Here is a 16,688-nt window from a genome sequence, read left to right as displayed (position 1 = left end):
GGATATCTACTTGCAGAAGAATAAAATTGGACCCATATCTCATATGATATACCAAAATAAACTCAAAATGGATGAAAGACTTAAACATTAAGACCTGAAACTATAAAATTACTAGAATAAAATATAGGGAAGGCTGGGCATGTTGGCTCAACGTCTGTAATCCCAGCACTTTGAGAGGCCAAGGCAGGCACATCACTTGAGACCAAGAGTTCAAGACCAGACTGGTCAACATGTCAAAACACCATCTTTACTAAAAATACAAAATTCGGCTAGGTATGCTAGCACATGCCTGTAATTCCAGCTCTATTCAGGAGGCTGAGGCAGGGGAATCACTTGAACCCAGGAGGTGGAGGTTGCAGTGAGCCAAGATTGCACCACTGCTCTCCAGCCTGGGTGACAGAGAGAGACTCTATCTCAAAAAAAAAAAAAAAAAAAAAAGGAAAAAGAAAACAGAAACATAGGGGAAAGCTCCCTGACATTGATCTGAGCAATGGTGTTTTTAGACAGAACTCCAAAAGCACAGGCAACAAAAGGGAAAATAGAAATGGGATTTCATCAAACTAAAAAACTTCTAGACAACAAAGGAAACAACAGGGTGAAGAGATACTCTCCCATGGATTGGGAGAAAGTATTTGCAAACCATACATCTGATAAGGAGCTAATATCAAAAATATATAGGGAACTCAAACAACTTAATAGCAAGAAAGCAAGAAACCCAGTTAAAAAAAAATGGCCAAATGGTCTGAACAGACCTTCTCAAGAGAAGAGTTATGAATGGCCAACACAAATATTTAAAAAATGGTCAGCATCTCTAATCATAAGGAAAAAGCAAATTAAAATCACCATGAAATATCACCTCATACTTGTTAGAATGGCTGCTCTGAAAAAGACAAACGATAACAAGTGTTGGCAAACGTGGAGAAAAGAGTACGGTTGTACTCTGTTGGTGGGAATGTTAATTAGTATAGCCACTTTGGAAAACAGTATGGAGGCTCCTGAAAAAAATGAAAATTGAATTAATCTATGATACAGCAATGACACTTCTGGTTATATATCCAAAGGAATTAAAATCAGTATGTCAAAGAGTTATCTATACTCCTTTGCTTATGCAGCATTATTCACAATCTCCAAAATATGGAAGCAACACCCATTAATAGATGACTGGATGAAGAAAATGTGGTATATATTCACAATGAAATACTATTCAGCCTTACAAAAGGACATTCTGTCATTTGCAATAATATGGATAAAATTGGAGGACATTATGCTAAGTGAAATAAGGCAGGCACAGAAAGACAAATACTGTTTGATCTCACTTGTATGTGGAATCTAAAAATGTTGATCTCATAGACAAAGACAGTAGAAAGTTCATTACCATAGGCTGGGGCTGGGGTGTGGGGAAAAGAGAGACAGAGAGAAAGGTAAAATATTGATCAAAGTGTACAAAGTTTCAGTTAGATTGGAGGAACAAATTCTAGCCATCTATTTCACTAGTTTCTGACTATGGTTAATAATAATGTATCGTATATTTCAAAATCACTGAAAGAATAGATTTTTAACATTCTCATCACAAAAAATAAGTTGGTGATGTGATATATATGTTATTTAGCTTGATTTAATCTTTCTGTAATATCTACATCAAAACCTCACATCAAAACCTCACATTGTACCCCATAAATATACACAATTTTTGTCAAAGTAAATCTTTAAAAATGTTGAGAAATGAACAGAAAAGTCCACAAGTCTTTCAATTCAAGATGAAGTTGAATGCTTTATAATATTTTACTATAATCCTATTGTCTGAAAAGATATATTTTATCAAATTTGAAAATAAGAAAAATACAGCCTCATGGCTTCTCTTAGAGGCCTTTCTTTCTTTCTTTTGTATACTGCACGTGGCAGGTTAACAGGGCTGAGCTGTTTTGATTAACTATCCAAATGTTTAATCAATACAGCAATAGCAAGATGCATTCTGGCTGTGAAAGACCTTGGAAAGGTCCCACTTGCCTTATGCTCCACCCCCAAGTGGGACATCAATGAACTATTACATGGTCCCTGCATATCAATGCAGTAGGGCTTAGACAAATACAGTGTTAATGGATAATTGTGGGTCACCTTGTCAAAATATGTTAAATGCCCCTTGAGTACAGATTTTTTCTCCCTATTAAAAATGACAGTAAACTGCGACCTTGTTGATATCATACATGCTTTCAGGAAGCAAATATTATTATTCAGTCTGTAACAGGTTTATTGATTTATGGGTCAAAAAATTCATTATGACTAAATTATAAAACACACTTTCTGTGTTGATACAACCCACGGTAATTGTGTGACAAAGTGCTGAACAGTCTTACTTGGTTTAGGCAAAATACCTTTATGAACATTCATTCAGAAAACACACATAGAGGCAGCTTCTAGCAGAATGATTCATAAGCAAGGCCTGTGTCCCTGTGTGTCTGGGATATCGACATAGCACAGAGTCAGGGAAAGTTCACTCGGTGACCAAGGTCCTTGGATTCTGGCCAAGAATATGCCATCTGTCAGGATGGTGGTACGTGCAGGAAGCCTGAGCCTTGGACTCTTGCCTCCCACTAGATCTATTCACAACGCTGTGAACACCCACACGGATCCTCCACTGTTTCTGGTGCTGCTGAAGGACAGAGGATTGCTTGTCATCTGGTGCCATGAGTCACAAGGAGACGAATTGTGGCACTTGGTACTTCTAGATTCCAAGTGCTGCTTCGGCAGCATGACACACAGAATGGAATGGGTTAGATTGGCAGTCATGTTTGAGGTTTTCTTTTTTCTTTTTCTTAAACATTTCTTAAGAGGCTGGTAAAATGAAGATTCGATGGCCAAGAATGTAGATTATGCAGAGAATGTCAGAATTTATTTGTCATTTTATCATTTGTTACTACTAAGCCTAAGATAATGCTAGGTCGAAACTGAAAATGAGATAAAAATGACATAATTGGCCAAGTTTTTTCTTTCACTATGAAACCCATTTTTTTCCCTTCTGAGAAAGAATGCAAAAATATTTAAAACCATAGGTTGTGTGCTAAGAGATGCATGAATATAGAAAGCATTATGCTACTTTAATGGGTCATGGAAAGAAAATGTGTCGTACAAGTATAACACACACATTCAGAATGTGTAATAAAGGGTAGTGTCATCTTTAAAAATGAAAGAAAACAGCATAAATAACTAAAATGGGAACCCTCTTAACATGTCAGTGATTTTATTAGAGGAATAGTTTCATTTTGTATACCCATCTTCAATTTACCTCAGGGTAGTTGAGTATAAAGTAACAGTTTACACATTATAATGAAATAGAATAAGCATCTCAGTTTAAAAATTCACTATGTGGTGGGAATTTATTCTATCAGAGAACCAATATAAGGTACACCACTCTTTGGTACATGTAATTTGAAGGTATAGATGCGTAAGAACACATACATGCAGTTTTTACAGTGTAGGAATTAAATGACATTCCATTTGAGGGCTTAATTCTATTTCACTGCAATATACCAGTCTTCATGTACTTCTGGTTGCTCATCTGGCCCTTTGAGAAGTAGAAAGAGACACCTGAAATACTCCTCCTATGAGCATAAACCATGCAATGGCTGCCAGATTATCCTCTAGGTATTATGACTAGAAGATGTTTAGAGTTGAAAGAAGCCCTAGAAATCATCAAATTGAAATTTCTTAGTTTCTTGATAAGAACAATGAGGTGCACAGATGTTAAGTGGGACAAGGCCACGCAGCAAGGTACTGGTAGAAACAGGATAGATGAAAACTCAAGATTTTTCCTGATGCTTTCCACTAAACTGTGCTGCCTCCTTCAAAAATAGATCAGCCTTTCCTTACACTAAAACATTTCATGTTCTCTGGAAATGGAAGATTATTGCTGTTGCCATGCTACTTCTCTTGCTTTATGTTTTGCCTTTGCTATATTAGCTAACATTTACTGAGAAATTACTATCTACCAGGCATTCTTCTAAGCATTTTATAGGTACTAATTTATTTAATCTTCACACAAGGCTATTATCCCTTTATAGATGGGAGACTATTTTTTTCATTTACCTCTATATGTTCTCTTTCTCCTCCTTTTTTTTTTTTTTTTCATAGAAGGGATTACCAAGGCTAAGACATTCCAAAAACTGCCCAAGGTCACCAGCTGGTAAGGGGTAGCCCTGACATTCTAACCAAGCTTCTTGGCTTCAGAGACTATTCTTTTCATTACTAAGTAGATGGAATTTCTTTTTTCCTCTAGTACATGGAGTTTCTCCTGAGCTTGATTCCAGTCCTCCTCAGCACCATCACTCACAAACAACAAGAAAGATATCCTAAATACCCTGGTTCATCATTACACATTGTGTGCATGTGTTAGACCATCACATGTTCCCCAAATATATGTACAATCCTTCTGTATATTAAAAAAAAAAGGAAGAAGAAAGAGAAAACACTAACAGTTGCAGCTAGCTCTCTATCACCCAGTCCGAGTGGTGGCGCTTTGTTGCATAATGTTCTTTCTTAGAAGATTCCTGGCCTGTGCTGCCCTAACTGCTGCGGCTAGAAGCTATGTTTTGATGCAAGATGTGTTATATATTAGTAATTTGTTTTTTGCCTATACACTGTTCAAAACTCATGTACTTTTTGAACAGACCTTAATGTAGCTGACGATATTTAAACCTGTCACTATTTTGGAACCAATATCAAGTATTCCAAAGTAATGGTGGTAATGTAGAAGCATCTTTATAATTTTTGTAATTTTAATTCTTGTAAATAAATATCGGCAGGTTGATATGCTTAAATGTAATAAGTTGTCAGGCTAATTATATCATTTAAAGTTTTATTAAGACCAATATTTAACTCTTCCTATTGACAATCATTATATTCTATATAGTTGAATTGGGCTTAAAATGATTAGGTTGAGTCACTTAAGAAACCAGCCCTTTGGTGAAAAACCTGCTTATAGCAGTGATACGAGAGGAAATTCCAGATAGAAGAAAATAAACTATTTTTTCAGAGATGAGTAAGTGTTCTTCACATTTTTTAATGAATAAGATGAGATAGTGTTCTCCCTTGCAAAATCATCACTCTTTGTGGCTTTGTATGTTATTTTATCTATTTCATTTATTTTTTTCCTGGAATCTCTATAAGGAAGCTCAATTTTTGTGTGCGCATTATTCTTTTTGCTGTTCATGACTTAATTTAGTCAGGAAATTATAATATGAACCCCCCAAATTTTAATGTCTGAATTTACACATTAAATAATTTTGCTTCTTTAAATTATTTGAAGCTTGTACAGAGCTTCTTATTGACAAAGTGCTTGACAATTATATCATCAAAATAAAATATTTCTCACTAATTTCATTACTTTTAAATATTGGTCAAATAATAAAATAATATTTATAATATATTAAAATTTAAATTGTTTATACCCATGAAAACCTAGACAGAGAAGGCCACATGAGTCAAATTGTATAATATTCAATATTAGTTTATTGCACAAGCAAATATATATACAATTTCTTTTCTTTTTTTCAGGGATGGATCTCACTATGTTGCCAAGGCTGGCTCGAGAACTCCTGGGCTCAACCAATCCTCCTGCCTCAGCCTCCCAAATAGCTGGGACTACAGGTGTGTGCCGCCACTCTCCCCTTTTTATTGGAAGAGAGTTCATAGAGGACTGAGCACCTATTTAGTATATGTTTCTAGGTTTGGTTACAATTTGTTAAGAAAAGTAGATTTGCAAACTCACTACTTTTGAAATATTAAAAATACATGCCATGAATTTCTACTTCAGCACAGATTTGGACAACCACCTTATGTATGGAAAGAAAATTTACTGAATTTAGTGCTAGGCATAGATGAGAATTTCTACTTGAAAAAAGCCCTTAAAACTTTTCCTGCTGTACTGTTCAATTATTAATATATTTAATGCACAGACGCAGTTCACAATGTGGACTGATGTGAACTTGTGTTGCATTGGCTTTATAAATTAGGACAGTTGATTTTACTTATCCTCCTGATTTGCCCAGATATGATCTCTATAAAAAATCACAGAAATTTTTGTAAAATAATCTTGCAGTTCTTGTTTTTGCTCTTTTTCTTATTTTTTTCTCAACAAAAAATTATTTCTGATGTTCTATTTTCACTTAAATGAAAACATTCCATGGAAGAAGTACAAAGAAGTAATGCTTTGAAATGACAGTCCCTGAATTTTCAAGAAAGCCAGATTCTTCCACATCCATAGTCTTCCTTTGTCCTGTTAATAATCCTCATGATGAGAGGAAAGTTACTGCCTAGTGTTTTATGACTGGGAGAATGGAGTAACAAGAATCTAAGTGGTCAGAAGTAGAGATTGTCAAGAATACAGGCTCTCAGGTTTTGGTGTCTGTGCTCCATCAGCCAAACTTTGCCCTTTTCTAGAAAAGACCCAAGTGGTGAAGTCACTAATTTTGTCATTGTTATTATGTACTGGAGAAAAATTAAATGATCCACCTCTTTATCATATACTGAACTTTCATGATAAGTAACACATGTGGAGTAACCAAGGCTTAGCCAACTAGGGATTAATGTTAGAAAATGAATTTTGCTTTCTCTATACTTGTTTAGAAATAGCAAAAGTTCTGTAAGGGGATGGCTAGGGGCCAATGGGAGAGGTGAAGGACCTTTATCACAGTATTTGTTTGGTCCCCATCAAAGTTCCTGGGTGCCATGGAAAAGTGTTTTTCTTTTCTGGACCCTTTACTTCATCTGCAAAATGGTGAGGCAGTTAAACTCTCTGGCTTGCTTTTATCTTACAGGCATTCAGTGAGGTATATAACCTGCAATATTTCTTAAAAGTTGTATAGGTTTTGCTGACCTGAATTCTTTCATGTTCTTCTTCATCCTACATGTGTAACTATTCCATGTTATCGGTCCCCACGATGAAAGATAATGGTGAGTTACTTGGTGAGGTTTTCATTGTTTTCATCAGAAAAATAATTTGGGCTGGAGCTGTGGAGAACAAGTGTTGTGTTTTTAACATGGACAAAAAAGATCATGGGATATGATTTCCCGTGCAAAGACCATTTTTCCAGCAATATATCATACCTCTTTTCTCCTGTGTGCGCAAAAGGACCTTCCTTCATTATGTGTTAGAAGGTGCATAACTCCAAAAGAGATGGAGTTAGATGAAAAAGAGCTATTCTGAACTCTACTGATTAAAATAAATGTGCTCATAAAAAAGGCAGGAGAGTAAATTACTACATCCCCAGAACAGCAGTAACTTATATACCAACAAGTTATTTTCGAGTTGCCAGAGGAAATAATCTGCTATCAACAAGGGGTAATTGCCTGAGCAAACTCATCTTTACATCTCACGCACGCTGTCACCTTGTATAAAAAAGGAGAAATGCACTACATATCAATTCAGAAAAGATTTTCTAAAATATTTTTTCTGAAGATTTCTTCCTTCTCCTAGGCAACTAAAAAGAGAGAACATGAATACAGTTCAGAACACATCTAATCTTGCTCCTGCCTTATCACTGAGCAGCATCGGAACACACCACAGATTGGATTCCACACCTCAGAGGCCTAGGGGCAAGATGAGAAAGGATCTATTTAGATGGGTATAGAAATTCCAATCAGATTTACCTACAACTGCCACAGGAGAGACAGGCCAGCTACAAAACCCTCCAGGATACATATTGCTATCATTAGCAAGAAATATCAATGCGATGTGTATATTCAGTTTTACAGAGAATAACAAAGGCAGAAAAACAGAGGCAGGAAAAAGGAGGGAAAGGGTGTTAAGCAGGACAGAGAGAAAGGAGGTCTCTTTTTGGGAGAAGCATTTTGGTTTTGCATGAGGAAAGAGCAAGTTTGTTGTTTTAAAAATCAGATGTAACTTATTTTAAAAACACAATTAGTGTACTTTAATTCTGCTTTCAGTACATTTTATTGAACTCAGGAAGTATAATTTTAATATCTGGGATATGGTATGTGTGTTAAAATTGCGAAGGAGTGGGTGAGTCATTAGGGTGATAGGATGAGTGTGTCTGAGTTGGAGAGAAACCAGAAACTCTGAAGACAATTGGCCCACAGCTTTTTTAATTTAATTTTTAATTTTTTTATTTTTTATTTGGCAAAGTGCACATTTTGTTGAAAAGATGCATTGAGAGGCCTGGGCTAATGGTCTGTCACTACGGTGATTTTTACTCACTCCAGAAAATTATCTGGATATGGAACTTTAGTATGTGCATCTATCTGCACATGCACCGGGACCTACATTTGATTAACTGAAGCCATGTCACATGACATACTACTGTAAAGACTTATGTTGTATTTGTAAAGGAAATATTTGTTTTCTCTTTAAATTCTCAGATGTGTATTGGAAAAAACAAAGTATTAACATGCTTAGCATTCTATAAAATTTTAATAACATTTTTCAATAAATACAAATCTGTTTTAATTTTTTTCCTCACTAGGGACCACTCCAAGTCCATATACACTTTGTTATAATGTTTTATGGTGTTATTTCCCAGGATAGGTTGTATGACTAAGTAACTGACATTCAAAGAATCAATGTGGATAGAATTTTTGCTTTTTTGTATGTCTTTAAAAGCACATGATGTTTCTTTTTTGTATGCTAAAAAATGTAGCATTTGACATTTTGGCTATCCAGTCATTAAGATCTTTCCTTGCCTTCTTGGATAATGCTATTGGATTCTATTTTCTGGCTTTATGACTATGTCTTCTCTATTTCAGTCAGTTTTCTTCCTTCTCCTGTCTTGCAGATGTCGTGTCCCCTTACCTCCCCATGTAACCCTAGATCTTTCCCTCCGGTAGTAATTCAGTGTATTCCCACAGTTCCAATGATCACTTCTACATGATGACATTTAGTCTTCATTGCCAGCACCAATAACCCTCCAGAGCTACAGCCTCTATTACTAATAAGACTGGTTTTTGGACAAGTCACTTAACTTCTTTGTGCCTTGGTTTCCTTCCTCAGTATAAACCTTAAGGTTGTAGTGGAGATTCAGTGCATTGATATAGGTAAGGCACTTAGGATATAGCCCTCAATAAGCAGTAGACATTATTACTATAGTTATTTATGAACATGTGACATTTTCTTCACTAGATTGTATGTTCCTTGAGGGAATCCTATCAATAATGATTTTTACATTGGTGCACCTCCCAAAGAGTCTAGTATAACATCTAGCACAGCAACTTTCACATATTATGTGCTTAATAAACATCTGTTGAATTAAAGAATTAAATTGTATACTTCAAATTATTACCTAAGATTCTTGTGCTTCCACACAATGACTTCAGATAGCCAGAATGTAGTGAGAAAAGCAACCTTTTCAGGCTTTACTCTCACTTCTCCTTAAGCAAAATTTAACCCACCCAATTTAGAATGTTTTCTATCAATTCCCATTCTGACTATTCAATAACGGATGTCTCTCTAGAGTAAGTCTTTTTTAAACAACAGTATTTAAAGAAAATAATTTTTTAAAGCACATTGAAGTGGCAGGATTTATTGCTTTGAAAAGTTTGTTGTGTTTTTAATTTTTTTACCCCTAAAGTGAATAGAAAAAATATGAAGAGTTTCTGTTTGAAATACTCAAGATACCAAATCAATGATCCAGTTAGGAAATTTGTGGGAATATGATTTTGGTGTGAAAGCCTCAAAATTCGGATAGTGTATTGTATGTTCTTACATAAAACTTAGGTTTTAATCATGAATTCCTCAAGGTCTCTGTTCCGTGGTCTGAATTGCTTTTGCCATTAAATGAGGGATACCTTAAACAGCATTTAGGTCTAGTAAAAACAGAAAAAAAAATGTGTTTTATGACAAAAAACCCAGGAAGTAAGACAATCTGATATCTCTGGCAGCTGAGCACTTGCCTTAATTCTGGATTGGGGCCCTTTGCTTTCATGTATTTAATTTTTTTTCTTTCATGTTTCTCTAGATATCTAAACCTCTAAGGAATTTTTACACAAATTATTTTCTTCCTTCCTCCTCATTCCCAAGAAAAAGATCCTTGGGAGCATCCTTAAGAGTTAAGCCAATCACGATTCCAGTCCTCATTAAAGGACACAAAGTAAACAAAATGTCGGAGACGGAAGTTAAAACAGAGGCGTCTCTGAAGGCCTGGGGCTGCTGCCATATTTAACATGCTATAAATGTTCTGAAAGTAAACAATGAAATCACCAGGTTTAGAGATGATATTAAACTCCTCAGGGTTCTAACAGACCCAACTGATGAGAGAACAAGCTACAGTGTAGTGTACGCAACTGAGTGGCAAATGAGATTGACTGGGGCAAGAGTGAGGAACAAAAGAACCCCAAAGATCTTCGTATGTGTAGCTGAGCCCCTAAGTCCATTTTTGGAAAACGAAAGCTCTGTGAACTATTTTTTCCTGAATACTTTCACTTAGCATTGATATAATTCCATCTTGGAAATCAACAGAATATGAACTGGCCTACACAAATAAAATTGGAAACAGAATAGAAAACAGCATTTTGGCCTTTTATAAAAAAATGTTGCAGCTGGGTGCAGTGGGTCATATCTGTACTCCCAGCACTTTGAGAGGCCGAGGCAGGAGGATTGCTCGAGCTCAGGAGTTCAAGACCCGCCTGGGCAGCATAATGAAATCCTGTCTCTACAAAAAAATACAGAAGTTATCTGGGTGTGGTTGTATGTGCCTGTGGTCCTAGCTACTCAGGAAGCTGAAGTGGGAGGATCACCTGAGCCTGGAGAGATGCAGAGAGCAGAAGTGAGCTGTAATTGTACCACTGCACTGCAGCCTGGGTGACAGAGAGAGACTCTCTCTCTCTCTCCCCTCCCCCGCCCCCCGCCCCCGCACACACACACACAAACATTGCTTACACACTGATAAAACCACATCATCTTCATGTAAGCAATTTTTTAATTTGATAAATGCTTTACTGCTTATTGTCCAAAGAACTTTTAATGTAAATTAAAATATATTTTATTATACAACTATTTAATATCTTTATATTATATTAAAATATTAATTATATAAATTATGTTACAAATGCATCAAAATAATATTTGTATGTTAGGTACTACTATAATCTCCATTTTACAGATGAGAAAATGGAGGTATAGAGAAGTTGAGAAAAACTTGAGATAGAAGATCCAGATAAATCATGGCTACTATAACTGAGATGGTGAAGGAGTGTCCAAATCTTTACAGACTGAAATATGTAGTACTCCCTATTGAAAGGGCAAACTTTGAAAAAATATGATGAAAGAATATAAAAGAATATGATGAAAATTAAAGCCGGTGGTCTTCCAAGCTATCCTCAGCACTGTGCTAGGATTCTTGGAGGTATCTTGGGGGCCAGAAGAGCCCCCAAGAGTCATTGTTGCCTGATTATCTAAGTTATATGTTGGGCTCTGCCCAGAAAGTTTCCATTTGAGGAAATTCTCTGTTAAAAAGTTTGAATGCCATTAGTGTAGATCAGATTTTTCTGTGTGTATTCAACCACACTCATGAACATCTTCCAAAATGCATCTGTTGTCTTGTTTTGTATGGGTACACAGTTTGTGACATAGAACTAGACAATCAGGCACGTCTAAGGATACGATGATTGTGTATATTCACCAAATCCCCTATTTTTTTTTTTGGTAACTAGTCTAGGCTACAATTGTACCATGTGATATCTGGATAGTCCAAGAAATGGTATACATTAAATGCAGAAATAAGTGTAATTGGAGCTCCTATTTATTAGATAAATGCAGTCACCTTAGCTGACTGCTAAAGAGTGTTAATGTAATGATAAGGCTGTCATTTATTACGTAATATTAATGTGAGTGATAGTAGAGGCACACTCTTCAGAAAACAAAGACAAAGTGAAACTGGGTGATACGCAGTAGCCAACAGGCAATCTTCCTTTCTGTGAATATGCTCAGGATTTAAAGATGAGCTCAAACAGTGTATTTGTGGATCAGCTCAGCTCCACATATTTAAAAAATAAAGCAAAACCTAAAGATAGATGATAGAAACCTAGTGGAAAAAAGGAATGCCACTGCTCCCCTTATGCTACCCAGTTTCAGATGTTTTCTCATCTTCAGTATAAAATAAAAAATATGATAAGAAATTGTTGTTCATAGTGGCTCCATTTGATAATTAAGCCATTTAAAAATAAACATTTGAAAAGAAGCTGAAGTAGGGGCTTTATCTCTCATAGGCAATAAGGCAGACTCACCCATACAGACAAGCATTTAATTGAAAATACTTTTTAATTACTGTGAATTATCTATTTCTTTCTTTACAGAAATACCTTCAGGAAAGGCAGTTGAACTAAATTTTCATCTTTATTTTGCTGAGGCAATCTATTCCTGCCTTGCTGTAAAGCTAAGGAAAGACTCTCTGGATGTATTAAAATATTTTCAGAAATGTATTTTTACAATTGAAACAAAACAACTTTCTCTTAAAAAAAGAAATGCTTGCTTATATTTACTTGTGAGAAAGCTGTGAAGAAGTTGATCAATGTATAGTTAAAATATTATCTTACATGAATAAAATTTGAGCAAATTTATAATTTCTGTTTTCTATAAGTTATAGATTTCAGGTCATCCTTCATTTTAATCTTTGTTTTTCTTTTCAGGAAAAACAATGCCTGTCTTTGTCTGACTCAAAAAGCATGCTGGTAATTTGCATATGAGATATATTTTATTAAGATGTTTTTATATTTGAAAGCTATGTCATCTCGGTATTGTCTAAGAAATACAGTTCACGATTTATGGACTTTTGTCTCTTGTGTGTGTGTTAATCAGTCTTAAAATGGTAGAAACATGCTGTCCTGCTAACTACAAACTGGGGAACAGCATTTCCCACAATCCTGAAAAAGTTTAACCTAAATCCAGATCTAGATATCAGAAAAATATAGCGTGAGATTCTATGCCTTATGACTGCTGTGGTTTGGGGGAGAAACCTGAGCAATTAATTCTGCACTAATTCCCTCAAGACTCTATCCCCTTGGGGGGATAATATGAATACAGTTTTACTTATCTGAAATAGGTTGTGCTTATATTCCTGAAAATTGTCCCATTTCTTGGATCCATTTAAAATTTTTCTGTTGGCATAGCAACAGATTAAAAGATCTACCACAGTTTTAAACACTTGCTTCATCTTTAAGAAAACAAAGTATATATTTATTTTACATTTAATTGCATCCTTTCTGTCTTCTTCTATCATCAGCCTATGCATGTGAGACTAACTTTTTCTCTCATTCCGCTAAGACATTCAACCCTGAAGTACATGTTTGTAATTCAAAAATACCATGCTAAAACATTTTTCTTACATTCATTTTTAATAATAAATTGTTACACTGAGGTAGTCCTAGGTCACATTTTTATTGTAAAATGTTTATATGTAAATCACTGAATACTTTTAGTATCAGACCTGTCATTGATTTTTACTTAAAGTACTGGATTTGAAAGCTTCTTTAAAAATATTTCCTAAGTATTCTTTCAAATACATTCTCCTCTTCTCTGATAAATGATGTGTATACAATTCTTGGGGTGTAAATAAAGGTTTTTGGGAAAGGATCAAGAATATAATTCCTAAATAGCTTAGTATATTTTTTCACTTTGTCTTAATAAATCAGAATTGGAAAGTAACATGAATTCAGTAAAGCATACCTCTTTCAGATCTAATCTGTAAAGCCAGGGAAATACCAATCCCTGTTCACAAAGTGCATAGGATCTGTTGAGGGCAGTGATTCTGATTCTCGAACATTGGAAACATCTGAAATTTAAAAATTTCCCTGCTCTCTCCCCATGTCTCCCTCCAAACCTGTTTTAATTATTTTAATGTGGGGCCTTTTCAGGTAAATGCTAATGTGCCCCCAGGGTTGAAAACCAGTAGTGTAAGGCAAGAGCATCAACATAGGCCAACCATCTACAGATCCCATCTCACTCTGCTTCCTACCATCCCTGGGAGTAGATGGCTAAGGACAATTGGAGGACAGGTTGTCGAAAATGAAAAGGTAAAAGCACTAAGAGATCAAAATGTTGAGTCGTTTATTGTTTATTGATGTTATTTTTAAAATGGGATGCCTAGATTGGGTCTGCAGTGTATATAAAGTAAGGGAGTTATTACTTCTCTTGTTCTGGCTAGATACCTCTCTTCTTCAAGTCTGTGGCTGTGTTCAGCTTTCCACACCTACATAAAAATGTTTTTGGCTTATTCCCAATTGTTGCCAACTTTCCAAAAAGTAATAAAGTGAAATAAAAAAAGTATAACAAAATAAAATTAGCAACAGTTAAACTGGTTTCTCCCATTTTGAACTTGTAGAATTAAGAATTTTAAATTACAATATTCCTTATTCACTTTTATATAATTTCATCATTCTTATTCTGTCATCTAAGTTCTATCACCCAAAATACTCACTTTGTCTACCTGCCTTGTGTAACATGCATGATCTCCAAAACAGAGATGATTCTTTAGAAAGCCAAACGTGTGGATTATTTTTCTGGATGACATATCCAAATATGATGCTGTCATAGCTCACTGCAACCTCAAACTCTTGGGCTCAAGTGATCTTCCTGCCTCAGCCTCCTGAGTAGCTAGGACTGCAGGTGTGTGCCACCATGACTGGCTGTGCCTTTTTTAAAGATGGGGTCTTGCTATGTTGCCAGGCTCTTCTTGAACTCCTTGCCTGAAGCCATCCTTCCACCTTGGCCTCCCAAAGTGCTGGGATTATAGGTCTAAGCCACTGTGCCTGGCCTTATTATTCATTCTTATTTAGGAAAATAAGAGATGTCATCTGGTTCAGACTAATTTCTTGTAGCCAGGAAATGGCACAATGAGTGCCCTACAGCAGTGGTTTCCAAGCTTTTTGACACCAGAGACCGGTTTCGTGGAAGACAATTTTTCCACAGATGGGGGTTGGGGGGATGATTTTGGGATGATTCACATGCATTATATTTATTGTGCACTTTATTTCTATTATTATTACATTGTAATATGTAATAAAATGATTATATAACTCACCATGATGTAGAATCAGTGGGAGCCCTGAGCTTGTTTTCCCGCAACTGGATGGTCCCATGTGGGGGTAATGGGAGATAGTGACAGATCATCAGGTATTAGATTATCATAAGGAGTGCACAACCCAGCTGTCTTGCATGCAAAGTTCACAATAGGATTCATACTCCTATGAGAATCTAATGCTGCAGCTGATCTGATAGGAGGTGGAGCTCAGGCCATAATGGGGGTGATGGGGAGGGGCTGTAAATGCAGATAAAGCTTCTCTTGCTAGCCTGTACGCTCACCTCCTGTTGTGTGGCCTGGTTCCTAACAGGCCACAGAGTGGTAGTGGTCCAGGGCCTGGGGACTGGGGATCCCTGCCCTGCAGAACAGATAATGTAATACACTAAACTCCCCAAACTTCATTAGTATACAGCATGAAAACATTTATGACCTGAACTAAGGCGGTAAACTTCCCAAAACTTCTTCAAGTTCCCAGACTTCCCAAAACTTGAGAAGTTTTGGGAAGCTTACAGCCTTAGTTTGGGTCTAGGTTTTGTTGGCTAGAGATTTAAAAATTACATCTAATTTTTGTCTTTTTGACTCAAGGTAAAAGAGAAAGGATATTAGATTTTTCTTCTTTCTTCATATGCTGATTAAAGATTTGGCTTCCACCTCTACCCCTATTGCTCTCCTTTCCCCATTATTTTGTATGCCCCTCATAAATTTGCCATTTGTGAGGAAATATCGAAATTTAAATACGACACCTTATTAAGCACTGCAGAATTAAGTTTTGGTGAGCTCCAAAATCGCAGTGTCATTATTACTGCTAAAGACAAAACTGGGGAGTAAGGTTTAAGATTTCTTTGCTGTTGTTTTTGTCTTTGGAATATATACCACAAAGGATGTGCAGAATACAGGTTGCATATCCCTAATAAAAAAATCTGAAATTTGAAATGCTCCGAAATCTGAAACTTTTGGAGCACCAATGTGACACCACAGTAGAAATTTTTACACCTGATCTCATGTGATGAGTCACAGTCAAAACTTAGTTTCATGCAAAAATTATTTAAAATATTGTATAAAATTATCTTCAGACTATGTGTATAAGGTGTATGAAACATAGATGAATTTTGTGCTTAGACGTGGGTCCCATTTTCAAGATAGCTCATGATGTCTAGGCAAATATTCCAAAATCTGAAAAAATCCAAAATCTGAAACGCTGGTCCCAAGCATTTTAGATAAGGGTTACTCAACTTGTACTTTATTGAAAAAATTTGAAATAAGCCTTCCCTCTAGATGATTGCATTACCAATTTAATGCACACTTAGGTTCATTTGTCTCATTTTTTTTTTCAGCTTTAGAGTTTGCTTTTTTTTCCTTTTTGAATTATTCTTCCAATCAATAAAATATTAACATGGTTTTAAAGTCAAAGTTTTATTTGAAGACATAATCAGAGAAGTCTCACTTACATTCCTACTTCCTCTACTCTTCCCCCCCTTCATCTCATAGATGTTTCTTTTTCCAAAAATAAGTATGCACATTTGTATCAATCAATCAATCTATCTATCCATCCATCTATCTATATCTATGGTTTTCTCCCTTCTTCCCTTATATGAAATGTAGCATACATACTGTACACACCATGTTGCACCTTGCCTTTTCATGTAATAATATCCTTAAGATTAG

At 35.7% G+C, this 16,688-nt stretch overlaps 1 long non-coding RNA gene across 1 annotated transcript, besides 2 other annotated features; it reads left to right on the top strand.

The window, feature by feature from the left end:
* Nucleotides 1,919-3,118: an enhancer, noted in NCBI's record as "P300/CBP strongly-dependent group 1 enhancer chr5:92413889-92415088 (GRCh37/hg19 assembly coordinates)". NCBI's record gives its function as "activates an origin of replication core promoter dependent on BRD2, BRD4, P300/CBP, MED14 and CDK7 cofactors, with strong dependence on P300/CBP, by STARR-seq in HCT116 cells {active_cell/tissue: HCT116}" and the evidence as "EXISTENCE:reporter gene assay evidence [ECO:0000049][PMID:35650434]".
* Nucleotides 2,355-2,404: a silencer, noted in NCBI's record as "silent region_16174". NCBI's record gives its function as "represses an Ori minimal core promoter by ATAC-STARR-seq in GM12878 lymphoblastoid cells {active_cell/tissue: GM12878}" and the evidence as "EXISTENCE:reporter gene assay evidence [ECO:0000049][PMID:35858748]".
* On the top strand, nt 5,608-12,773 carry LOC124901025 (uncharacterized). Its single transcript, XR_007058868.1, has 2 exons — nt 5,608-6,948; nt 12,634-12,773. It is a non-coding gene; the product is annotated as an uncharacterized LOC124901025 (long non-coding RNA).
* The last annotated feature ends 3,915 nt before the right edge of the window (nt 12,774-16,688 follow it).

This window comes from Homo sapiens, chromosome 5 (genome assembly GCF_000001405.40).
Source record: "Homo sapiens chromosome 5, GRCh38.p14 Primary Assembly".
Taxonomy (NCBI): domain Eukaryota; kingdom Metazoa; phylum Chordata; class Mammalia; order Primates; family Hominidae; genus Homo; species Homo sapiens.
Note: the sequence above shows the minus strand (reverse complement) of the source record. Positions and strands in the feature narration are given on the sequence as shown.